This window comes from Homo sapiens, chromosome 1, assembly GCF_000001405.40.
Source record: "Homo sapiens chromosome 1, GRCh38.p14 Primary Assembly".
Lineage (NCBI taxonomy): Eukaryota > Metazoa > Chordata > Mammalia > Primates > Hominidae > Homo > Homo sapiens.
Window position 1 is genome coordinate 65,015,227 of NC_000001.11, and position 27,014 is coordinate 65,042,240.

General features: G+C 41.9%; 1 protein-coding gene and 1 pseudogene across 4 annotated transcripts in view, besides 1 other annotated feature; both read right to left on the reverse strand.

The window, feature by feature from the left end:
• The window catches only part of JAK1 (Janus kinase 1), a 234,518-nt gene that overhangs the window by 181,998 nt on the left and 25,506 nt on the right, over window positions 1-27,014 (reverse strand). The gene's annotated exons all lie outside the window — the stretch shown is intronic.
• RNU6-1176P (RNA, U6 small nuclear 1176, pseudogene) lies at window positions 7,742-7,848 on the reverse strand (annotated as a pseudogene).
• Window positions 10,769-11,586: an enhancer, noted in NCBI's record as "OCT4-NANOG hESC enhancer chr1:65491678-65492495 (GRCh37/hg19 assembly coordinates)". NCBI's record gives its function as "activates a minimal SCP1, AML or CMV promoter by ChIP-STARR-seq in primed H9 embryonic stem cells {active_cell/tissue: H9 hESC(primed)}" and the evidence as "EXISTENCE:reporter gene assay evidence [ECO:0000049][PMID:30033119]".

Consider the following 27,014-nt stretch of genomic DNA (forward strand, 5'->3'; position numbering starts at 1 on the left):
AAATTGTGCATAACACAGCATTAACAATGTCATATGAGATGAAAAAGTAAATAAATACACAAAAATAAAAGCATGCAAATTAAGAAGAGAGTCAATGAGGTTGGTGTTTAGTTTTTGTGGTATTTAGCACAAGAAAAACATTAGTGACTAACTTTTTACTTAATAGGTGATATATACATATAAACATGTTAGGCTAAACTCTAAAAAATAATAAAGACAGAATATAGCCTATAAACAGAGTTAAAAAAAGGAATAAAAATAATACAAAAAAGAAGAGAAAAAGAAGTATATAAAAGTGAAGCAAAGAGAAAGCAAAATGTAAAGTGATAGATTTAAAATATTAGTAACTAATATCAGTTAATTAAAATGAATAAAATGTAAATGGATTAAATACTTCAGTTAAAAGACAAAGCTTCTCGGACTGGAGAAAACTTATAGATATTCAAACAGGTTGAAATTTTAAAACGGAAATATAACTCCAAAAGAATTGGCATTTTTATGTTAATAGTACACAAAATAGACTTTAAGCCAAAAATCATTATTGAAAACAATTTGGCAATTCCTCAAAAAGCTAAAAATAGCATTACCATATGGCCCAGTAATGCCACTCCTAAGTATTATATATATATCCCAAAGAATAGAAAGCGGGGACTCAAACAAGTACTTGTATACCAGTGTTCATTGTAGCATTATTTACAATGGTCAAAAGGTGGAAACAACCCATGTACCAACCAGATGTATGAACGAAATGTGGTATATACATACAATGGAATATTATTCAGACATAAAGAGGAGTGAAGTTCTGATAGATGCCCCATGGTAGATAAACCTTGAAGACATATGCTAAGTGAAATAAGCTAGATGCAAAAGGACAAATATTGTATAACTACACTGACATGAAATATCTCAAATAGGAAAATTCGTAGAAATGTAAACTAGACGCAAGTTTGTCAGGGGCTGGGGAGAAGGGACCTGGGGAGTTTTTACTTACTAGTTACTGAGTTTCAGTTTGGGGTGATGAAAAAGTTTTCGAAGTAGATAGCGATGGTAGTTGTATAACATTGTGGACCTAAGTAATGCCACTAAATTGTACCCTTAAAAATGGTTTAAATGGGCCGAGCATGGTGGCTTATGCCTGTAATCCTAGCACGTTGGGAGGCCTAGGAGGGCAGATCACTTGAGCACCAGAGTTTGAGACCAGCTTGGGCAACATAGTGAAACCCTGTCTCTACAAAAAATACAAAAATTAGCTGAGCATGATGGCATGCGCCTGTAGTCCCAACTACTCCGGAGGCTAAGGTAGGAGGATCACTTCAACCTAGGAGGTTGACTGCACCACTGCACTCCAGCCTGGCAACAGAATAGGACCCTGTCTCAAAATAAATAAATAGGCTGGGTGCAGTGGCTCACGCCTGTAATCCCAACACTTTGGGAGGCTGAGGCGGGTGGATCACTTGAGGTCAGGAGTTAGAGACCAGCCTGGCCAAAGTGTGAAACCCTGTCTCTACTAAAAATACAAAAATTAGCCGTGCATGGTGGCAGGCACCTGTAATCCCAGCTACCTGGGAGGCTGAGGCAGGAGAATTGCTTGAACCCGAGAGGCAGAGGTTGCAGTGAGCCGAGATCGCGCCACTGCCCTCCAGCCTGGGCAACAGAGCAAGACTCCATCTCAAAAAAATAAGTAAATAAATAAAAACTTAAAATGGCAAATTTTACTGTATACATTTTATCAGAATTTTAAAATTACAACAATAAAGATAATCACTTAACAATACAATTTCAGCTTACTAGGAAAATATAAAAATTTTGAATTTATAAGTACCTAGTAGTGCAGCCACAAATTATATAAGAGAAAAATCAGAAGATCCATATGGAGAAATAGACAAATCTACAATTATATGGGAAATTAAAAAATACATCTCCCGATAATTGATAGAACAAGAAAAATCATTAAATAGGCCAGGACTGGTGGCTCATACCTGTAATCCCAGCACTTTAGGAGGCCTCCGAGGCAGGTGAACCACCTGAGCTCAGGAGTTTGAGACCAGCCTAGCCAACATGGCGAAACCCTGTCTCTACTAAAAATATAAAAATTAGCTGGGCATGGTGGCACAGCCTGTAGTCCCAGCTACTCGGGAGGCTGAGGTATGAGAATTGCTTGAACCCAGGAGGCGGAGGTTGTAGTGAGCTGAAATTGCGCCACTGCACTCCAGCCTGGGCAACAGAGAGAGACTCTGTCTCAAAAAAATAAAAATAAAAATAAATCATTAGAGGATTCAAACAATAATGATTAATAAAACTGATCTAATAGAGATTATCTATATTTCATTCAACAACTGCAGAAAAAAATTCTGAAGTCCACACAGAATATTTCAAAAATGGACTCATACATAGTCATTAAAACAAGCCTCAACAGATATTAAAGGATTAATACAGAGGATGTTTTCTGACCTAAAGTGATCTAACTATAAATCAATAATAAAAAGGTAAACAGAGCATCTCCATGTTTGGAAAATTAAAACCATGCTTTTAAATAACTCATGGGTCAAAGAAGAAATCATAGTGGAAAAAATTTTTAATTGTGAACTCTGCCTTTTTTTTTTTTTTGACAGATTCTCACTCTTGTCGCCCAGGCTGGAGTTCAGTGGCAGGATCTCACTGCAAGCTCCACCTCCTGGGTTCAAGTGATTCTCCTGCCTCAGCCTCCCAAGTAGCTGGGATTACAGGTGTCTGCCACCAGGCCCAACTAATTTTTGTATTTTTAGTAGAAATGGGGTTTCACCATGTTGGCCGGCGCTGGTCTCGAACTCCTGATCTCGGGTGATCCTCCCGCCTCAGCCTCCCAAAGTGCTGGGATTACAGGTGTGAGCCACTGCACCTGGCTGTGAACTGTGCCTTTTTAAAATGTGTGAGTGACTTAAAAATTACTTCATATCAAAAACATATAGGGTAATAGCTAAAAAGTGTTTACAGAGCTGATTTATAGCCTTACATTTTATATTAGAAAAGAAAAAAGGCTAAAAGTAAGTAAGTCAAGCATCTGCCTCAGGATATTAGAAATAAGCTGCAAGATAAACAGAAATAAAGAAGTAGGAAAGAGATAACAAATAAGAACAAAAATGTGTAAAATAGAAAAACTATGTAACAGGAACAATAAAGCCAATAGTTGATTCTTTGAGAAGACTAAAAAAGGTGTAAAATATTTGGTGAAACTAATGAGAGACACACATACATACAGAGAGAGAGAGAGAGAGAGAGAGAACACACACACACACACACACACACACACACGCTATCAGGAGTGAAAAAGGGGATATTACTCCAGATGTTGTACACACTGGAAAGATAATAAAAGGATATAATGAATGACTTAAATCTAATCCATTTGACAAAGTACACTATATGGACTAATTTCATCGGGGAAAAATCAACAAACCTTATAAAGATATTTTAAAAACATGAACATGATTCTGCTAAGAGAGCATTTGAAAAAAATAATAAAGGCCGGGCCCGGCGGCTCACGCCTGTAATCCCAGCACTTTGGGAGGCCGAGGCGGGCAGATCACGAGGTCAGGAGACCGAGACCATCCTGGCTAACACGGTGAAACCCCGTCTCTACTAAAAATACGAAAAAATTAGCCGGGCGTGGTGGCGGGCGCCTGTAGTCCCAGCTACTCGGGAGGCTGAGGCAGGAGAACGGGGTGAACCCAGGAGGCGGAGCTTGCAGTGAGCCAAGATCGCGCCACTGCCCTCCATCGTGGGGGACAGAGTGAGATTCCGTCTCAAAAAAATAAAAATAAAAATAATACAAAAAACAAAAACAAAAATCTCGAACAATCCTATGATCATTAAATAAGTTGAATCGTTTACAGAAAATCCACAAAGAAAATTCCAGGACCAGAAGCCTTTCATATGACTTCCACCAATCTTTTAAGGAACAAAGTATTTTAATATTACATAAACACATACAAGAAGGAACAACTCTCAAACTCATAAGACACTAAAATTCATGTGAAGACTATGTCAAAATAAAATTACAATCTAATTTGACCTATGGATGTATGTTGAAAAAAATCTGAAACAATATATTAGCAAACTGAATCCAGCAATACAAAAAGATAATATAGAAAAGCAAGTGTATCCTAGGAATACAAAATTGGTTTAATATTTGAAAATGAAACAATGTAATTTGTCATGTTAATAGAATAAAGGAGAGAACCCATATGACCCCCCCCCCAATATATTTAGGAAAAGTGAATGGTTAAAAAAAAAAGTCAATATGTATTCTTAATTTTAAAAATCAGCAAACTTGAAATAAAAGGAAACTTTTAAGTGAAATAGGGTACCTACAGAAAATCTGTAGCAAACATCATGCAAAATAGCGAAGTTGCTATGTCAGAAGATGTGAGGCCGGGCATGGTGGCTCACTCCTGTAATCCTAACACTTTGGGAGGCCAATGTGGGTGGATCACCTGAGACCAGGAGTTCAAGACCAGCCTGACCAACATTATGAAACCCCATCTTTATTAAAATTCAAAAATTAGCAAGGTGTGGTGGCAGGCACCTGTAATCCCATCTACTTGAGAGGCTAAAGCAGGAGAATTGCTTGAACCCGGGAGGCAGAGGTTGCAGTGAGCCGAGATCATGCCACTGCACTCCAGCCTGGGTGACAGAGCGAGACTCTGTCTCAAAAAAAAAAGAAGAAGAAGAAGAAGAAGGCAGAGCGTGGTGGCTCACGCCTGTAATCAAAGCACTTTGGGAGGCCAAGGTGGGCAGATCATCTGAGGTCAGAAGTTCAAGACCAGCCTGGCCAACATGGTGAAACCCCATCTCTACTAAAAGTATAAAATTAGCCAGGTGTGCTGGTGCATGCCTGTAATCCTAGCTACATGGGAGGCTGAAGCAGGAGAATCGCTTGAACCCGGGAGGCGGAGGTTGCAGTGAGCTGAGATCACGCCATTGCACTCCAGCTTGGGCAAAAAGAGCAAAACTCCGTCTCAAAAAAAAAAAAAAAAAAAAAAAGCTGTGTATAACTTTAGTTCTGTTAGACAATGCCACACTCTTTCAAAGTGGTTGTGCTAATTTATACTCTCAGCAACAGCCTATGAGAACTCTCATCACCAATCCACATTATCACCAAAAGACTGTGAACCACTGTCCTAGAGAAACTCTTGCAATGTGTACTACAGACAAGTACAAGAATTTTCTCAGCATCATTGTTCTGAGTAGCTTGAAACTGGAAACGATTCACTGTGCTTCTGGGGAGGCAGCAAAATTTTATATCTGGATCACAGTACTGGTTATGTAGATGTTCATTTTATAATCATTCAAACTGCACATATATGCTTTATGCACTTTTCTATATGTACTGCATATGTCTCATTTGAACTTCTACAAAGGCATTATATTCTTCAAAGAAACTTCACACACATTTTAATAAATCTTATCTGATTTTACAATTACCACTTGTGGTTCCTATAAGAAACTTGTCCATATTAGTTAGGGCTCCACTAGAAAAGAAATTATTTGTACAAATTTGGTAATTTGAGAAGAGTTTAATTTAAAAGGACCATCTACAAAGGTGTGGGCAGGGTTTAAGGAGCTCAAATGTGGTAACAAAATACTCTAGAACTAGTAACTTGGGGTGCCTTTCCCACCCTTTGGGGCAGGGAAAGAAAGCCTTTATTAGAACCAGGAGATAGAGCTATGTGGAGAGAGCTACTCAACTTGAGCTATGACCTCTAGTGGAAAGACAGAGCCAGTCCACACCACAGTGACCGCATACAAAGGGGATAAATACCCTGATTTTGCTCCTCTCCCTTCCCTCTCCCAATCTTCTGTCTGTGCTCCTTGTTGGTGAACCCAACCAGAAGCCAGAAGACAAGAGAATCTGTGGATGCAATGCATTTAGGTCAACCACCCAGAGAACCCAGCAGAATGGAGCTGGGCAAAGAGTAGATCCGAAGTGATGAGAAGTTGTTCACATGTCCGTCTGAATCTAAAGTGGTAGCCACTTCCAGTGTTTTTCTTTTAAAATACAAGGTTTGGGGAGAAGGAGAAATGACCAAGGGATTTAAATTATAGCTGTTATAATCCCTGCTTCTGCAGCTGATGACAAGGCGTACATTGGTACTCAAGGCTACCTTCTTCCACCTCCCACTTCTGTTCTTTCCTTCCATCGGCACTTCAGCAGGATGTGTTTTACCTTTTTCCTTGTCCCAGGCTACTTGTCCCATAGTAAAGATGCTTTTGCCTATTTTCCAAAGTAGATTTGGAGAGACCCAAACTTCGTTGCGTGTAGGATATGAGGCATTGATAATCTTGTCTTTATTGGGTGGCTGCACTTTTCCATTCACCAGAACAGTGGGCCAAGGAATGCTAAGAAGTTGTTCATTGAATCCCTGAGTTCTAAACATAGCTCTCCCTGTCTATCCCCGCTAGGTAGCAGCAATCTAATTACTGCTGTTAAGGATATATTACCCCTTTTCTATATATTGGTTCTATGACCTAAGGAACCCCTAATGCCTGGGGGTAAGACTTAGCTTCCATTTCATTGGAACCATGTCTATTATACTTCCCATTTTTTTAGAAGAGGACACTAAAACCAAGAGAATTTGCAATATTTGCCTAAGAGTGCATAGTTAGTACAACAATGGAACTAGAAGCTCAGCCTCCTGACTTTCAGACTCATTTGCTTCCCACATACTGGAGGAGTACAGCTGTGTCTTATCACTGTAACAGGTGGACATGGGAAACAGCAATAACACAACGTTAGACTGTGATAAAGGTGACTCAAGGGAGGGAGGAATACACAGTAGCAGATGTCCTCTAAATATTAAGGCACAGTAGAGAATAAGACATTTGTCATCCTGCCATCTCATTGTGCCAAGCTACAAGAGTAATGTTTTTGCCCTGTGTTTTTCCAAAGCAGGGCCTTTTCCAAAACAATTCAGGGTGATGACTACTTGAGTGCATTTTAATGTGTTTGCTAATGAATTTTCTTGATATTGGAAAATAACATTTTTCTTGTGTAATGTCCCCTCTCCTTTCTCTCAAAGGAGCCCACATTGCCATTTTTTTATTTTTTTATTTTTTCTTGGTCACAGAGAAGTCCATGCTAGTGAAGCAATTAAGGGCTCTTTCTAACCCATAAATCACCAACAAAATGGATATTCCAGTGCACCCATAGGGATTGGAGGGCTCATGTGAGGGAAGTTTGTAAATGACTCTGCATTTTAGGATTTCCATAGCCTTTCTGAGGCCCATTAAACTGATCAGTAGGTAGTAAGTGATGAGGCATAAGGCTGGGAGGTGGGGTGATGTAAAGAAAAAATTAAGAAATGAGACTGAGTCAGCCAAAGTGAAAATTTAGTTTGTAAGAGTTGGTGCCTCTTCAGACTTCTAAGCAACTTGAAGAAGGTAATCACCATTTTATTACTTTTATTATCTTCTTTATTTTTAGACTTTAACATAGTCAATAGTGGGTTGCAGTACCTTGCTAAGAGGGAGGAGAACCAACTTCATACATTAGTGTCATGCTAAAATATTCATTGGGAAAAATTAATATAGCATTTTATTTAGGGCTTTCAATGTGTATATCAAAGGAGAAACTAATCAGGGGAAATTCAGTCTATTCTTAAGTTGGTGGGGAATGATATTTTTTGATAGGGAGTTTTTCACACCTGTTAGATCATATAAATTCAGTGGATGCTTTTTTTCTCATGAAAAGTGAGGAAGCAGTAAACATTTAAAACATAGAATTTTTTTTCCTGTCATCCTTACACAGGGGCCATGCTAATCTTCTCTGTATCATTCCAACTATTAATTATTTTTAAGTGAAGTATTTAATACGCTGATGTTAAGGTTCGGTTCAATGACTTTTTTTTAAATTTTAGAGGTAGGGTCTCGTTCTGTCACCCAAGCTGAAGTACAGTGGAGTGATCATGGCTCACTGCAACCTCAATCCCCTAGGCTTAAGTGATTCTCCCACCTCAGCCTCCCAAGTATCTGGAGACACAGGCATACGTAGCCATACTGGGCTAATTTTTATTTTTTATTTTTGTCAAGCTATGTTGCCCAGGCTGGTCTTGAATTCCTGGCCTCAAGCAATCCTCCCACCTCAGCCTCCTGAGGCACTGGTATTACAAGCCTGAGCCAACATGCTTGGCCAACAGATTTCGATAATTGTACACATTAATGTAACTACCATCTAAAGTTCCAGAAAGTTGTCTCATCCTCTTGTCCCTTTCTAGTCAAACCCCCTTTCCTTCTCACTGAGGGAACCACTTTCTTTTTTTTTGAGGCTGGACTGCAGTGGCACAATCTCGGCTCACTGCAAGCTCCACCTCCTGGGTTCATGCCATTCTCCTGCCTCAGCCTCCCGAGGAGCTGGGACTACAGGTGCCCACCACCACACCAGGCTAATTGTTTGTATTTTTAGTAGAGATGGGGTTTCACCATGTTAGCCAGGATGGCCTCGATCTCCTGACTTCATGATCCACACACCTCGGCCTCCCAAAGTGCTGGGATTACAGGTGTGAGCTACTGCACCCTGCTGAGGGAACCACTTTCTAATCCTATCACCATAGATTAGTTTGCCTGCTCTGGGATTGCATGTAAATGGAGTCATACCGTATTTATTATTTTGCATCTGGTGTCTTTCACTCACCATGGTTCTAGATTCATCCTTTTTTTTTTTTTTTTTTGCATGTACCAGTGGCTCGTTCCTTTTATTGCTGAGTAGTATTCCTTTGTATGAATATATCACAATGTGTTTATCCAATCTCCTATTGCTGGACATTTGAGTTGTTTTCCATTTTTGGCTGTTATGAATACAAGTACTATGAGCATTCTTGTACAAAACTTTTTGCGGCCATATATTTCCATGTTTTGGGGGTATATACCTAGGAGTAGAATAGCTGGTAACTCTATGTTTAATCATTTGAGGACCTGCCAGACTGTTTTCCAAAGTGGCTGTACCACCTACATTCCTACCAGCAAGGTACAAGGGTTCTAATTTCTCCATATCCTTGCCAACACTTGTTGTTCATATTTTTTATTACAGCCATCCTAGGGGGTGTAAAGTTATATCTCATTGTGGTTTTGATTTGCATTTTCTTAATGATTAATGACGTTGAACATCTTTTCAAGAGTTTATTGGCTACTTGTACACCTTCTTTGGGGAAATGTCTATTCATAACATTTGCTCATTTTAAATTGGGTCATTTGTCTTTTTGTTGTTGAGTCCTAATTGATTCTTAACTTGGGTGAAATTGAATTGAGAGAGTCTGTTGTAACAGGTAAGCCTCTTGCAGTTGAAAGTAACAGAAAACCCAACCTACATTATTAGCTTAAGCATTAATGGAACTTGTTGTATCACAGAACTGAAAGTTCTTGGAGGTAGTTGTGGCTTCAAGAATGGCCTGGTCCAAAGCAAAAAAAAAAAAAAAAAAAAGAAAGAAAAAAAAAGGCTAGGGGTGGTGGCTCACACCTGTAACCCCAGCAGTTTGGGAGGCTAAGGTGGGCAGATCACATGAGGTCAGGAGTTTGAGACCAGCCTGGCCAACATGGTGAGACCCCATTTCTACTAAAAATACAAAAATTAGCCAGTCGTGGTGGCAGGCACCTGTAATCTCAACTACTCAGGAGGCTGAGGCACGAGAATCATTTGAACCCGGGAGGTAGAGGATGCAGTGAGCCGAGATCGTGCCATTGCACTCTAGCCTGGACAACAAGAGCGAAACTCTGTCTCAAAAAAAAAAGTGACACCAGAACCTGATTTCTTCCTTCTCCCCTCTTAGCTCTGTTTTCACTGTCTGAGCCCCATTCTTGGATAGGCCTCACCAATTAGAACAGCAAGATGGCTATAGCAGCTCCAGCCACACGTTCTTCCAGGTTCAGGCCCACAGGAGAAGAGTGCTTGCTCACAGAAGCACTGGCAAAAAGACTTACGGGTCCTGACTGATTACAGACCAATCCAAACTGCAGTGGCCAAGAGGAATAGGTACACTGATTTAGGGGGATTCACAGATCCCATTCCCGAAGCAATGGTTAGAGCCCACCCGAAACATGGATTCCAAGTCGGGGAAGAGAGAGAGTTATCCAGAGAGAAATTAGAATACATTTACCAAAATAGGAGGAAAAGGGATGTCGGGGATGTCAAAAACTAGCAAATGTCCACTACAGTGCTTCCCAACCACGGCCTCACTAAAAATCAACATGATTTTTATCTAAGCAACTAAGCAAAGAGGTGAGGCCACAGGGTAAAATACTATTATTGACACAGGAATATGGATAAAGGCAAGAGAATAGTTAGCCAGCAGTAAAATCATTAAAAAGTCACTAAATTTAGCATCTGAAGACCTGGCTCGAATCCTAGGTTTGCTACTTGCTAGCACTATGACCTTGGAAAAAATCACTTAACTTTACAAATCAATTTTTTTCTTTCTTTCTTTTTTCTTTCCTTTTTTGAGACAGGGTCTTACTCTGTCACCCAGGCTAGAGTGCACTGGCATGATCACAGCTCACTGTAGCCTCGACCTCCTAGGCTCAAGAAATGCTTCCAGCTCAGCCTCCCGAGTAGCTGTGACTATAGGTGCATACCACCATGCCTGGCTAATTTTTTATATTTTTTGTAGAGATGGGGTTTTGCCATGTTGCCCAGGCTACTCTTGTACTCCTGGACTCAAGCGATCCTCCTGCCTTGACCTCCCATAATGCTGGGATTACAGGCATGAGCCACCACACCCAGCCAAACCACATTTTTCTAAGCCATAAAACAGGGATTACCTCAAATTATCATTCCAGCATCATAGGTTGGTTCTAGAAATATAAACCTGTAAAAGTGCCTGGCACATAGAGGATATTCACTCTGAAATCCTGGGTCATAACTTTGTCTACATGCCTTCCATGTGATCCCACCCCAACGCTACTACCTATCCAGCCAGTGTTTGCTTTCCAGATGGGACTGCAGAGATTTCCACAGAAAATCTTTTGAACCATTACCTTATTGAGCCCCAAACTGTAATTTCAGCTATGTGATTAGAGCATTGTTCTATCAACACCGAGAATGGTTTCTGGCTGGAATGTCAGTGGAGCATGGTGAGCCAGACACAGGCAGTCCTTTGAACACAGCCTGGGGTATAAGACAGAGATGATCATCACAGTTGGAGATCTAGAAAATGTCCCTGGAGACCTCAGAATCCCACGGTTTGGCTTCCAGCAGTGAAAATGAGTGCCAGCTTCCCCTCTCAAAGCACGCTGCCCCCCTGGATTCTAGTTTGTTAGCTAATCCCTTCCTCCTCTAGAACAGGAAAGAAGGAAGGAAGGGTTTGGAACTGTTCCATTGGTAGCCCCAGAATTTCTACATAAGAAAAGCTTAGGGGCAGCCATCTGGCTGCTATGAGCTTCTAGAGGAGTTGCTTTTGAAATTGTTTGCATTTTAAATAAGAAGGTTTGGCCAGGTGCAGTGGCTCACACCTGTAATCCCAGCACTTTGGGAGGCAGAGGGCGGGCAGATCACCTGAGGCCAGGAGTTTGAGACCAACCTGGCCAACATGGTGAAACCTCATCTCTACTAAAAAATACAAAAATTAGCCAGGCATGGCGGAGTGCACCTCTGGAGCCAGAGGCAGGAGAATTGCTTGAACCTAGGAGGTAGAGGCTGCAGTGAGCTGAGATTGCGCCACTGCACTCTAGCCTGGGCAACAGAGTTAGGCAGTCTCAAAAAAATAAAAACCATTTTTTTTAAATAAGCAGGTTTCATTCAGATTGTATACTATTTGAGATGGCCTGGGTAGAGCTGGTTATCTGGAAACTTTTGGGGTTTTTTGTTTTTTTTAGATGGAGTATCACTCTGTTGCCCAGGCTGGAGTGCAGTGGTGCGATCTCGACTCACTGCAACCTCTGCCTCCTGGGTTCAAGCTATTCTCCTGGCTCAGTCTCTTGAGTAACTGGGACTACAGGTGCACACCACCACACCTGGCTAATTTACCACACCTGGCTAATTTTTTTTTTCTTTTAGTAGAGATGGGGTTTCACCATGTTGGCCAGGCTGACCTCAAGTGATCCGCCCATCTCAGCCTCCCAAAGTGCTGGGATTACAGGTGTGAGCCACTGCACCCAGCCAATTATCTCGAAACTTTGATCATCCTTGACATCACTGCCGACTGCCCTCCTCCAATTCCCTTGGTCTATCTCTGACTGATGCCGGCAGAAGAAGCAGAGCAAAATCTCCTTACATGTATTTTTGTTCCGCTTCCTGTCAATTTGGGTCCTCTAGGAAGCAGACAGGCACCAGGATGGGTTTATAAGTGAAAGCACTGGGTTGTAATAACTGTGAAAGGCAAAAGGAAGAGGGAGCTGGAGAGGGCAGGGAAAGCCTTAAAACCATGTTGCAGGTCTGAGGCTTGTAAAAGGAGAAGGGTAAGGAAGGATGATTGTGTGGGTGAATAGAGTCTCAGACTGTGGTGCAGCTCTGGAAATGTCCTGGTCAGCCTAATAGGGAGCTCTGGCACAAGGATTGCCCTCAAAAAAGTCCCACGTTGCATGGCAGTGGTCATGCCCTAGTACCCCTGCCATGCTCAGTCATTGGTAGAGGGCTGCCTGGGAGAAAGTGCTGCACCCTGGATGCTGGGGTGGATCCAGACTAGAAGCTGTCAGCGTTCTGCATTCCTTGCAGCAGGTTCTTTCTGGAAGGGAAGTCTGCGTGGCACGCTGCCACAGCTGGCACAACCCCAACAGCTGTCCAGCCATTCTGCTCTTACCTATAATCAAGCTCACAGAAGGGAAGTAGAGTGTTTTTGTGCTCCACAGAACTGCCTGAGCTCTTTTTATGATTCCTTTGGGTGAACCCTCAGTAAGTCAATCTATGCCTTAGGTTTCTTGTCTGAAATATTTCCTTTGCCTGGAACGCTTTTCCCTCAGCTACACTAATAACTCAATGCCTCATCTCCTTGAGGTCTCTGCTCATGTGTTGTCTCATCAGTGAGTCCTTCCCTGACTAATTAAAATAGCAATCCCCTCACAATTCTTATTCTCCTTCCCAGTGTTATTTTTCTCCATAGCACTTACCCTATCTAATTTTAAAAGTTTATTTATATATTTATCATCTGTCTCCTTTGATTAGAATATAATGGATGTCAAGTCAGGAGATTTTGTCTGCTGTTCTATCCCTAGCACCCAGAATAGTGACTAGCATATAGCAAATGCCATTAACTATGTGGCAAATGGAAGGAAGAAAGGAAGAAAGGAAGGAAGGGAGGGAGGGAGGGAGGGAGGGAGGGAGGGACTGGTATAACCACACAAATCATGTAAAAGTTGATAGATACCACTAATCCTTTCTCTTTCTGATGCAAACTTCTTATCTAAGAAGATCATCTAACCCCTTGAAGAGAGCAATTAAGTCATTGAAACTTATAAAAATGTGTCACTAAAAATTGGAACTTTAAGTCAAAGACAGAAAACTTATTTACTAATTGTATTCTTTTTATCAGATACCATGTTACATGTTTTTACATACGTTATCTGATTTAATCCTCCCAATAGCACTGAGATAAGGGTTATCATCCCTATTTTGTGGGCAAGGAGGGTGAGGCCCAAATAACATGGCCAATGTCACACACAACTGGAAGTATGGAATTTAAATTCAGATTTATCTGATAGCAACAAATAAGAAACAGACTTCAGTGCCAAATAAGAGGAAAGGAGCAAAATTAGCTCACCATTTGATAGTAAAAATATGAACAAAGTAAAAGAATCATTACAAAGGACAAAGGAAGGAATTACTTTTACTATGCAGGGGTCAAGGCTCAATATCAGTTACCCAATCCAATGAGGATACCATCTTCTTACAATAGTGGGTATTTATTTTTCCTTTTTTTTTTCTCCTGAGACAGGGTCTCACTCTGTCACCCAGGCTAGAGGGCAGTGGCATGATCATAGCTCACTGCAGCCTCAAACTCCAGGGCTCAGGTGATACTCCCATCTCAGCCTCTCAAGTAGCTGGGACTACGGACATGCACCACTGTGCCCAGCTAATTTTTTTTGTATTTTTTGTAGAGATGGGGTTTCACTATGTTGCCCAGGCTGGTCTTAAACTACTGAACTCAAGTGACCTGCCTGCCTCAGCCTCCCAAAGTGCTGGGATTACAGGCGTGAGCCAACACACCCAGCCTATTTTTCCTTTTAAAAGTCTGTTATGCAGAAATACCATTTGACCCAGCAATCCCATTACTGGGTATATACCCAAAGGAATACAAATCGTTCTATCATAAAGATATATTCACATGTATGTTCACTGCAGCACTACTCGCCATAGCAAATACTTGGAATCAACCTAAATGCCCATCATTGGTATTTGAAAATAAAATATGGTACATACACCATGGAGTACTATGCAGCCATAAAAAAGAATGAGATCATGTCCTTTGCAGGAACATGGATGGAGCTGGAGGCTATTATCCTTAACAAACTAATGAAGGAACAGAAAACTAGATACCACATGTTCTCACTTACAAGTGTGAGCTAAATGATGAGAACGCATGGACACATAGAGGGGAACAAGAGACACTGGGGCCTATTGGAGGGTAGAGAAAGAGGATCAGGAAGAATAACGAATGGGTACTGGGCTTAAGAGTGTGTAATGAAATAATCTGTACAACAAACCCCACAACACAAGTTTACCTACATAAGAAACTTGCACATGTACTTCTGAACTTAAAAGTTAAAAAGTTAAAAAAAAAAAAGTCTGTTATGGACTGTGTGTTCCCCCACACCAAAATCCGTGTTTTGAAGCCCTAATCCCCCATGTGATGGTATTAGGAGGTGAGGCTTTGGGGAAGTAATTAGGTTTAGCGAGATTATGAGGATGGAGCCCTTGGTGGGATTAGTGCCCTTATTAAAAGAGGAAGGGATACCAGCACTCTCTCTGCAATGTGTGAGGGCACAGCAAGAAGGTGGCCATCTGCAAACCAGGAAGAGAGCTCTCACAAGGAACTGAACCAGCTGGCATCTTGATCTTGGATTTCCCAGCCTCCAGAACTGTGAGAAATAAATTTCTGTTGTTTAAGCCACCTAGTCTACAATATTTTGTTATGGCAGCCCAAATAAACTGAGACAAAGTCTCAGAAACTCATAGACGTGTTGTATCAGAAACCATCCCTTAGAAGAGAAAGTTTCTCATTCTTGCAGTAAAAAGCCAATTAATAAATGGGAGGATAGAATTTGAAAATCATCAGTGAATGCTAAAACTAGTGGGTGAGTGTTTGATGAGGAACAGAATATTAACATAGTCCCCAAAACCTCCTGACAATTTTTTTTTTTTTTGAGACAGAGTCTCACCCTGTCACCCAGGCTGGAGTGCAGTGGTGCGATCTCTGCTCACTGCAACCTCCACCTCCCGGGTTCAAGTGATTCTCCTGCCTCAGCCTCCCAACTAGCTGGGATTACAGGTGCACACACCAGGCCCAGCTAATTTTTGTATTTTTAGTAGAGATGGGGTTTCACCATGTTGGCCAGGTTGGTCTTGAACTCCTGACCTCAGGTGATCCACCCACCTCTGCCTCCCAAAGTGCTGGGATTACAGGTGTGAGCCACCGCACCTGGCCTCAGTGACCAATTGTTTTTTAATTGCAAAAGAAAAAACGGTGGCCAGTGCAGTGGCTCATGCATGTGGTCCCAGGACTTTGGGGGGCAGAGGTGGGTGGAATGCTTAAGCCTAGGAGTTTAAGACCCCCCTAGACAACACGGCAACACCCCATCTCTACAAAAAATACAACAGCTAGCTGGGTGTGGGGGCGCACACCTGTAGTCCCAGCTACTCAGTAGGCTGAGGTGGGAGGATCAGTTGAGCCAGGGAGGGTGAGACTGAAGTGAGCCGAAATCAAGTCACTACACTCCAGCCTAGGCAACAGAGTGAGAGACCCTATCTCAAAAAAAAAAAAAAAAAAAAAGGAAAAATAGTCACTTTACAGTGGGGAAATATGGTGGATACCGCCTTAACCAGAGATCAAAGTACGTGATGTTCTAAGATAAAGCAGCATCATGTACTTTCTCATATAAAGTGCTGAGAAGGACAAAACACTACTTCTGTGGTATTTCTGCTCAAAATATACAACCTGAATGTGATCATTAGGCAAGTCAGAATACTTGTAGGAGTTATTTTGTAGAACATTCTACAAAATAACTGCCCTGTACTTTTTAAAAAATTTCAAGTAAGAGAAAGTCAATGAAAAGCTGAGGAACTCTTCCAGATTAAAGAAGATTACAGAGATGAGACAACCAAATGCACTGCATGGTCTAAGACTGGATTTGACCTGGGAAAGTCAAACAACTACAAAAAGACATTATTAGGGCAATTAATGGAATTTGTCCATGGACCCTGGATTAGATAACAGTATTGTATCAAAGTTAAATTTCTTGTTTTAATCATTTTGCTATGGTTATATAAGAGAATGTCCTTTTTTTCAGCAAATAATCTGAAGTGTTTAGGGGTCTCCTAACATCTCATGGCTCCAATTTACTCTAAAATTTTTTCAGAAAAAAATCATACACACATGCCAGAGACAGAGAGAGAATGATAAAGGAAATGAGCTAAAACAATTGATGATTCTGGGTTAAGGGCACACAGAATTTGAGACTGTATCAAAATTAAAAATTAAAGAAATGTGCTTTGTATCTCAAAGACCCTCTCTTGATGTTAACCTAGGGGCTGGAAAAACACAGATTTTTCTTTTTCTTTTTTTTTTTTTTTTTCTTGTGAGATGGGGTCTTGCTTTGCTGCCCAGACTTGAGTGCAGTGGCGCGATCTCAGCTCACTGCAACCTCTGCCTCCTGGGTTCAAGCAATTCTCCTGCCTCAGTTTCCCAAGTCGCTGGGACTACAGGCACGCACCACCACGCCCAGCTAATTTTTGTATTTTTAGTAGAGACGGGGTTTTGCCATATTGGCCAGGCTGGTCTCAAACTCTTGACCTCAGGTGATCCACCCACCTCAGCCTCCCAAAGTGCTGGGATTACAGGCGTGAGCCACCACGCCCAGCCTAGATTTTTCTTTGAAGCTTTGAATTATTTTGCAAATCAAGATAAGAAACTCAGGAGAGTTCCAGAATGCACAGTGCTAATTTCTATTGGAAATGTAATTACTCTTTTGTTCTAAGTGCTCATCAGATACTGTCTGAGTACTGGTCATTCTGTCTGAAGTGGTTGTTTACAGCGAGCCCTTTTGCAAAATGGAACATTTTCTAATGCCAATTTCGTAAATGGAAACACAATATATGCAAAACAACAACAACAACAACAAAAAAAACAGGCTAAAGGAAATACAATGAATCCACTCAAAATAATTTCAAATGACCTGGCTTTATTTTCTTAACCTTGATGTTACTGTTATAATCCTTCCATACGTGAATCCTGAGGGACAGCAGGATTGTTTAGGGAGAAATCAGTGGGTATCTATTTTCTTATAAAGTACTTATAAATTAGAAACTACATATGGCCATCTTCTCAGTGTCTTCATGCATCCGTTTTTTAAATTACCTTTGCTACTGTCTATTTCTCTATGTTAGACTGCCCACCAGTGTTATGGGGCACCTATTAGGTGCTATGAAAATGTAAAAGACTGAGACATGGGTCTCTGTGGCAGAGACCACTACTTAATAGCCATTCTTTCTTGGAAACAAAAAACCTTTATTGTTGGGTATGTCAGTGTACCTGGCTATAAAATATTTTCCAGCCTTCCTTGCAAATTTGGTGGCCAATGAGCTATTAGCGAGACTTCCAGAAAAAGTCTTTAAAATTTGGCTGGGAAACCTACCCTTTACCCTTAATCCTTTCCTCCTTCTTGCCTGGAACAGAAATATGAAGGCTGGACTTCCAGAAGCCATCTGGTTAACACAAGGAAAAGGCCCCCACCCTGGGGATGGCAGAGGAAATAGCAAAAAGAGGCTATGTTCCTGTTTTTGGATTTTAGAGACAGACTCTTGTGCTGTCACTCTTGCGCTCTCACTGCAGCCTCTAACTCCTGGGGTCAAGCGATCATCCCAGCTCAGCCTCCTGGGAGCTAGAATGACAGGTGTGTGCCCAACATAATAATAAAATAATAAATTTTTTTTAAACAATAAAATTTTAAAATTTTTTTATTTTTGTAGAAATGGAGTCTCGGTATGTTGCCCAGGATGGTTTCAAACTCCCAACCTCAAGCAATCCTCCCACCTTGGCCTCTCAAGGGGCTGGAATTACAGGTATAAGCCACCACACCTGGCCTCAACTCCTGTATCTCCAGAACTAGTGACTGAATACAACTCTTAAATTATATAGTATCTGATTTCATGAACAAATTCAGCAGAGACTAATGCACACAAAATAATTAGAAAACATTGCCCATTTGGGTGAACTGGCTCATGCCTGTAATCCCAGTGCTTTGGGAGGCCGAGGCAGGAGGACTGCTTGAGGCCAGGAGTTTGAGATCAGCCCAGGTAACATTGTGAGACTCCCGTAGTACCAAAAAAAAAAAAAAAAAAGGAAACACTTCCGTATAGTATGTAGTGTAAGAGAAAGTATAGGTAGACAGAGTAAGAGCTTTAGAATCCATCACTCCTGCAGTTCACTCCTCAGCTTAGCAATTTAGAGTGTGTGATTTTGGGCAAATTATATAACATTTCTAAACTTCTGTTTCCCTTTTCATGAAATGAAGATGATAATAATTACCTTGTGTAATTGTAATAAGGAGTAGACATAATGTGCCTGGCACTCAAAATATGCTTAATAAATGATAATAGTAATTTATAAGCTATACAAACTCACAGAAATAAGAAATTGATGTGGATCAAAAGCCTTAGAGAATAAGTAGGATTTTACTATTCAGGATGGGTAAAGGGGAAAGGTATTCCACATGGATAAAAGGAAAGGTAAGTACAACGTGGGTAGAGACATAAAGATTGGCTGAATATAACGTATTTGATAACTACAAGGAAATTAACATAACTGGTATTGAAGAGTTGAGGAAAACGGGATGGCATATAAATAGGGTGAGATCAGGATGGCACAGATGGGGTGGGATCAGGCTGAAAGCCAAAGAGAAGATACACGACTTGATATGGAAGAGCAAGGAGAATTCATAAATTTTGTACAAAAGGAAGGATCAGGACAGACTTAATAAAAGCTCATTACCCTAAGGTCTTCAGTTATCCTAAGTGATTTTCTTTTGGAACAAGTGACAAGGAAATGACTCTGAGTGCCAAATGGAAGGTGAGTGTCTAATCCAAAAAGGTAGCCATTAATTTAATGGAAAGATTTTCTAATGGCAAACATTAATCTAGTTGTTAGAAAGGTACTACAGGGTAGCTTGAGTCCACACAAGCTTTCTTCCTGTGGTTTCTCTATAAAATGAAGAATTATGGCAAAGTTGTTTTTCACTTAAAAAAAAGTAATCAAGCCAATCAGACAAAATATGTTTCTCCATACAAACCATGAAACACCAGCTGAAATTCACTGTTTTGTTTCTCATGGTATCTTTTTCTTCTCTATCTCATTTAAAAAATTCTCTTAGTGGCTGGGCATGGTGGCTCATGCCTGTAATCCCAGCACTTTGCGAGGCCAAGGCGGGCGGATCACTTGAGGTCAGGAGTTCAAGACCAGCCTGGCTAACATGGTGAAACCTTGTTTCTACTAAAAATACAAAAAATTAGCCAGGCATGGCGGTGTGCGCCTGTAATCCCAGCTACTCAGGAGGCTGAGGCAAGAGAATTGTTTGAACCTGGGAGGCGGAGGTTGCAGTGAGCTGAGATCGCACCATTGCACTCCAGCTTGGGCAACAAGAGTGAAACTCCATCTCAAAATAAATAAATAAATAAATAAATAAATAAATAATAAATAAATTCTCTTAGTAATGCCATTTGTTTCCAGAAAATACTTCAGGATTTTCTCGAGGTAAAGATTAAGAGGTCATTAACCCACCCTTTCATGTGGTTTCACAGAATCATCACATTGTACAATAGAGTTCATTATTGCTTTTCCTACATACCAGAATAGAAACTGGCAAGCTAAACCAGCTTCTTGTGACCTGTAGTTTCTAGACAGAGCCCATCCATGAGTTCTAGTCAGAGAATTCTTCTCTTCCTTCTCATAATCTGATATAGAATGTGTAGTAGGAACTATAAGCAAGTGAGTATAAAGTTTAGCTGAGGAAACGCATCCGTGAGATGTCATGGAAAAGGTATGAACTTGGAGTTGAGGAGACTTGACCTTCAGTGCTGACTCTAGAAGTAAACTGGGAAACGTTGAGCAAATCAGATTTTCTCAACTTCATTCTACTCTCCTGTAAAATAAGGATAAACACTTCCTACTTCAACAAGTCCTTCCTTGAGACGTCTGCATAAAATAATGTATGAGAGTGTTCTCTAAAGTTTAAAAAACTGTAGAAGTGTGATATTTTCTATAGACACTTGGAGTGCCTACCCACCCTGTTCCCTTCTTTGGGGAGTGTCCCTATCACACATTCCAAAGGACAGACCCAGGAAGCACATCTGAAATAATCATAGCAACATAACTAAAAGAAAAGAGCTGGCCGGACGCGGTGGTTCACGCCTGTAATCCCAGCACTTTGGGAGGCCGAGGCGGGCGGATCATGAGGTCACAAGCTCGAGACCAGCCTGGCCAACATGGTGAAACCCCATCTCTACTGAAAATACAAAAAATTATCCGGGTGTGGTAGCGCACGCCTGTAGTCCCAGCTACTCAGGAGGCTGAGGCAGAAGAATCACTTGAACCCGGGAGGTAGAAGTTGCAGTGAGCCGAGATTGTGCCACTGTACTCCAGCCTGGGTGACAGAGACTCTCTCTCAAAAAAAAGAAAAGAAAAGAGTGACAGTTTGGGATGATGAAAAAGTTATTGGGATGGATAGTGTGATGGTCGCACAACAACATGTATGTATTTAATGTCACTGAATTGTACACGTGAAAGTAGTGTACCTTGACTAAGGTGGGAAGATTGCTTGAGTCCAGGAGTTTGAGACCAGCCTGGGCAAAATAGTGAAACCCCATCCCTACAAAAAAAGTTTAAAACTTACCCAGGAATAGCGGTACACATCTGTAGTCCTAGCTGCTTGAGAGGCTAAGGTGGGAGAGTCACTTGAGCCCAGGAGTTTGAGGCTGCAGTGAACTATGATAAAGCCACTGCACTCCAGCCTGGGCAACACAGTGAAAGTCCCCGTGCAGGCCAAAGTTATAAGGGAGCAGGGAACAAGGTATGGGCAGCAAAAGTCTGAAGGAAATAAGAGACCAGAGAAGGGTGAGGGGGATTGTCTGACAACTTTCCAATTTCTATGTGTCTTGCACATTGTATCTTCGTGACTGCCCTATGTGCTTATTAACATAACTGCTTTCACTTAGGCTACTCCAATGAGCTTTGCAATTTGCAACCAAGTGAGTTCTAATTATTCTACAAAGTATTTCAAGAGTAAAGAAGAGCTGTGTATGCAAAAATATCTGGAGCATTGCTCTTTATAATAATGAAACTTTGGAAAGAACTGAGTTGCCCAATAACTAGGGAATAATAAATTGTACTATGTCCATTCAATGGACTATTATGTAATCATTACAGTACATGGACATAAAAACTGTGCATAACTAGAGTAATTACAGTAGTCTTAAAAAATAAATACATGCTTATAAGGATTGAGAAAAGCTGGGTGTGGTGGCTCATGCCTATAATCCCAACATTTTGAGAGGCTGAGTCAGGTGGATCACTTGAGACCAGCAGTTCAAGACAGCCTGGTTAACATTGCAAGACCCCACCTCTACAAAAAATTTAATAATTAGCAGGGCGTGGTAGCACATACCTATAGTCCCAGCTATTCAGGAGGCTGAGGTGGGAGGATCACTTAAGCCCAGGAGTTCGAGGTTGCAGTGATCTGTAATTATGCCACTGCACTCCAGCCTGGGTGACAGAGCAAGCAAGACCTCATCTCAAAAAGAAAAAGAAAAACAATTGAGAAAAAAGCTATGCAAATATATCAAAAGCTGTGATGGTAGGAAAAAGGGGTGTGTGTGTGTTTTCTATATTGTTCAAAATCATATGAAGTTTTTTTGTTTGTTTGTTTTTAGAGATGGGGGGGGTCTCATTATTTTGCCCAGGCTGGCCTCAAACTCCTGGCTCAACTCCTCCTGCCTCAGCCTCCCAAGTAGCTGGGACTACAGGTGTGCACCACCGTGCCCAGCTTGTATTAAGTTCTTGAGAAAAATTTGAGAGCTCTTAAAAATCCCCTTTATTAAAATATTTGATAGAATTTTCAAGTTTCAGAACTTAAAATAATTTTAGAAGTCAATAAGTATAGATTTTCATTTCTTCAGACTGTACATTTCTAGTGATAATGAGCTCTCTGCTCTCTAATATAAAGTAACTGTACCCAGGTAGGAAGATCGCTTGAGCCCAGGAGCTGGAGACCAGCCTGCACAACATAGAAAGACCCCATCTCTAGAAAGAATTTAAAAATTTAGCCAGGAGTGGTGGCATGTGCCTATAGTCTTAGCTACTCGGGAGGCTGAGGCAAGAGGATCGCTCCTCTTGCCAGGAGGTCAAGGCTGCAGTGAGCTGTGATGACACCATTGTACTCCAGCCTGGGCAACAGAGTGAGACCTTGTTTCTGAAGAAGAAAATAATAAATAAAACAAATAAATCAATAAAGTCTCTATAAAGTGGCTGCCCACCCTCTGCTTGAACAACTTTGGGGACCTAAGTGCCCAAGTTGCTCCTATGATTGGCTTGTTACAAAGTTCTGCCTCACATTATGTCTGTAGTTTCTTCCCCTTAGCTCTAGTTTTCCCTGTTGAGGTCAAGTCTATCCCTTCTTACGTGGGAATGTTTGGGGCCATCCGGGTGCACAACCTGTGCAACAGGGCACTGTGTCCAGAAGGGCCCCAAGCTTGGTTTAATGCTCTTATGTTGCCATTTTGAAATTCTTTTTCTTTTTTCTTTTCTTTTTTTTTTTTTTTTTGAGACAGAGTTTTGCTCTTGTTGCCCAGGCTGGAGTACAATGGCGCGATCTCAGCTCACTGCAACCTCTGCCTCCCGGGGTCAAGCAATTCTCCTGCCTCAGCTTGCTGAGTAGCTGGGATTACAGGCATGTGCCACCACGCCCAGCTAATTTTTGCATTTTTAGTAGAGACGGGGCTTCCCCATGTTGGTCAGGCTGGTCTGGAACTCCCGACCTCAGGTGATCTGCCCGCCTCGGCCTCCCAAAGTGCTAGAATTACAGGCGTGAGCCACCATGCCCAGCCATTCCATTTTGAAATTCTTAATACTTTTTTGAAGAAGGGGACCCACTTTTTCAGTTTGCACTGGGCCCCACAAATTATGTAGCCAGTCATGAAAATATTTCACATAACTTTTATGTCAAACCTCCCCATTCCTTTAGACATCTTTGTTTGTTTGTTTTGAGACAAGGTCTCACTCTGTCACCCAGGCTGGAGTGCATTGGCATGATCTTGGCTCACTGCAACCTCCGCCTCCCAGGTTCAAGCAATTCTCATGCCTCAGCCTCCTGAGTAGCTGGGATTACAGGTGCCCACCACCACACCCAGCTAATTTTTGTACTTTTAGTAGAGACGGGTTTTGCCATGTTGGCCACGCTGATCTCAAACTCCTGGCCTCAAGTGATCTGCCCACCTTGGCCTCCCAAAGTGCTGGGATTACAGGCGTGAGCCACCGCACCCAGTCTTGTGTGTGTGTGTGTGTGTGTGTGTTTGTGTGTGTTTGTGTAGAGACAGGATCTCGCTATGCTGCCTAGGTTGGTCTCAAACTCCTGGCCTCAAGCAATCCTCCTGCCTCAGCCTCCCAAAATGCTGGGATTACAGGCTTGAGCCGCCACACCCAGCCAGTACACACACACATACATATTAACCTCATCTGATAGTTTGAGATAATAGATGGGAAAGTGTTTTGAACAGTAAAAGTCCTATGAAAATGCAAGGGGGCCAGGTGTGCCACCACTGCCAACCTAGACATCCTTTTGACCATGCCAGTTGCTCTCTTTGTTCCCACAACTCACTACAGACTCTAGATATGATTGAGTCAGTGTGGAGTATAGAGATAACTCAAACAACCTTGTTATAAAAGTTCCTAGTATGTATGTTTTTAGTAATAGATAATGCTTATCCAATGTTTCCTATATGGCAGGCATTATGTTAAATACATTATATGTGTTATTTAGTCCTCACCACCATCTTTCTAGTTAAGAAACAGATTTATCTTCAGTTTACAGATAAGTAAACTGTGGCTTCGAGAGGTTACATCATTTGTAAGCTACTACAGTCAATAGGTGGCAGAAAGAAACTCAAACCCAGGTTTGACTGACTCTTTTACACTATATTCTACTATGGCTTCTCTCAAATTATTAGAGGTATTCACACTATTTGGGGACACTAAAGGCAACACACATTGAGCTGCGTACCAGTGGTGATCTTACTGTCAATGACTTTTGATCTAGGGTGATTCAGCAGGAAAGGTATTTTTGGATGCTGACTGAGCTTCTCCGACACAGCCATTGCCTTTTCCAGGGTTATGTGTTCTATTTGGTTCCTTCCTGAGGATTCCCCCCATTCCCCTAGGCTTAGCCTCTGTATTAGTTTCCAATAGCTGCTGTAAGAAACTACCACAAACTTAGTGTCTTAAAAACAACACAAGTTGTTTTTAAGGTCAAAAGTCTGAAATGCGAAGAGGCACAGTGGCTTACACCTGTAATCCCAGCACTTTGGGAGGCTGCAGCGGGTGGATCACCTGAGGTCAGGAGTTCAAGACCAGCCTGGCCAACATGGCAAAACCCTGTCTCTACAAAAAATATAAAAATTAGCCAGACATGGTGGTGGGCACCTATAATCCCAGCTACTCGGGAGGCTGAGGCAGGAGAATCCCTTGAAATTAGGAGGTGGAGGTTGTAGTGAGCCAAGATTGCCCCACCACACTCCAGCCTGGGCAACTAGAGCAAGACCCTGTCTCCAAAAAAAAAAAAAAGAAGTCTGAAATTGGGCCTCAAAGGGCTAACATCAAGGTGCTAGCACAGATGCTTTCCTTCTGGAGGCTCTGGAAAGAATCTGTTCCTTGACCTTTCTATCGTCTAGAGGCCACCTGCCTTCTGTGGCTCGAGGCCACTTCACTCCAGCCTGTGCTTCTGTCATCACATCTTCTCCGACTCTCCTGCTTCCCACTTGTAAGAACCCTGTGATTACCCTGACCCACCTGGGTAATCCATAGTAATCTCTCGACCTTACAATCGGGATGAGCAACCTTCATTCCATCTGCAACCAGAATTCCCTCTGGCATTTAACATAACGTGTTCTCAGGTTCCAGGGATCAGAATGTGGACCTTTATTCTACGGACCATTATTCTGTCCACAACAATCTCCCTACTCAGCCCTCACATACACACACATGCCCAGGTCCCCCTGTGCTCTGGATTTCAGGGCCTTCCCCATCCCACTCACCTACCCATAGTGGCGCTCTGGTTTTTCTGTATTCATTCAACAAACATTTATAGAACACCTATTATGTCCTAGGCATTTTGCGAGGGGCAAGGGATACCACGAAAAAAAACATAGTCCTGCTTTGAAGGACCTCACATTTCAGAGGAGCTGACAGAAAAATCATGAAACACAAGAAAACATGGCAAATATTGGGGTGGGGTAAAGGAAGCCCAGGAAGTGAAGTTTTTATATAGGACTTGGGGTCTGGGGAGGGCAGGGATATACAAAGATGTATATCATCGCTCCTGTTGCTATCACAGATCCATCATTTCAATGTAGTGGGTATCATCACGGAAAAAGAGGGCCTGCAATCTGGGCTCAGGATTTCCTGAAATGTCAAGTGCCCAAACTGATGGCAGGCAGAGCTGGACTGCTCAGAGACCACAAAGTGCAGGGACACCAGACCTCCTGAAGGCCTGGCTGTCGCACGGGTCGGAGCAGCCAGCAAGAGCTCCTTATTACCGTGGCGAGGAGACCGCGCCAAGTGGAAAAAGCTATTTACAGTGTTGAAGGGGGAAGGGCTCATCCCAGTGGGTGATTTTCTCATTTCCCCAGGCTGAACCTGACCTAAAACAAACTTTCATTTTCAAAGCTGAAAGGGGAAAACTTGCTACATACACAAAGATGGAGTTTTAGTTCCTCTGCATCTCAAATGTGGAGTCTGAGGAAAGAGCCAGTACCCCGTAAGCACTGGATGTTTTCTGTTTTAGATACTGTATCAGCCCAGGACCCTGGATATGCCTAGCGACCCACCTGTGCTCCAACCTGTGCTCTCTGTGTCGTCTCCTACCTGATGGCCTCTGTGTAACCCTTATCATAGCAAACACAGAAGCGATCATCTGATTCTGTATGTTCCTGTACACAGACATTTCACAGGAACCATGGGGCGCTAGTTTCCAGCTCTGTACTGAACTCTACTGTCTCCTTTCAGAAACACAAGCAAATACTTATACTATATATACATACAGTTGGTCCTCCCATCTGAAGATTCAACCAGCCATGGATCAAAAATATCTGGGCTGGGCACGGTGGCTCACGCCTGTAATCCCAGCACTTTGGGAGGCCAAGGTGGGTGGATCACCTGAGTTCAGGAGTTCTAGACCAGCCTGGCCAACATGGTAAAACCCCGTCTCTAGCAAAAATACAAAAAATTAGCCAGGCATGTTGGCAGATGCCTATAATCGCAGCTACTACTTGGGAGGCTGAGGCAGGAGAATCACTTGAATCCAGGAGGCGGAGGTTGCAGTGAGCAGAGATCTCACCACTGCACTCCAGCCTGGGCAAGAAGAGCAAAACTCTGTCTCAAAACAAAACAAAACAAAACAAAAAAATCTGGAAAAGAAAAACAAAACAAAAAAACCCTCAAAACAGAAAACACTATAAGAATAAAAAATAACGAATTTTAAAGCAGTACAGTATAACAACTATTTACATAGCATTTACATTGTATTAGGTATTAGAGGCAGTCTAGAGATGATTGAAAGTATACGAGAGGATGTGC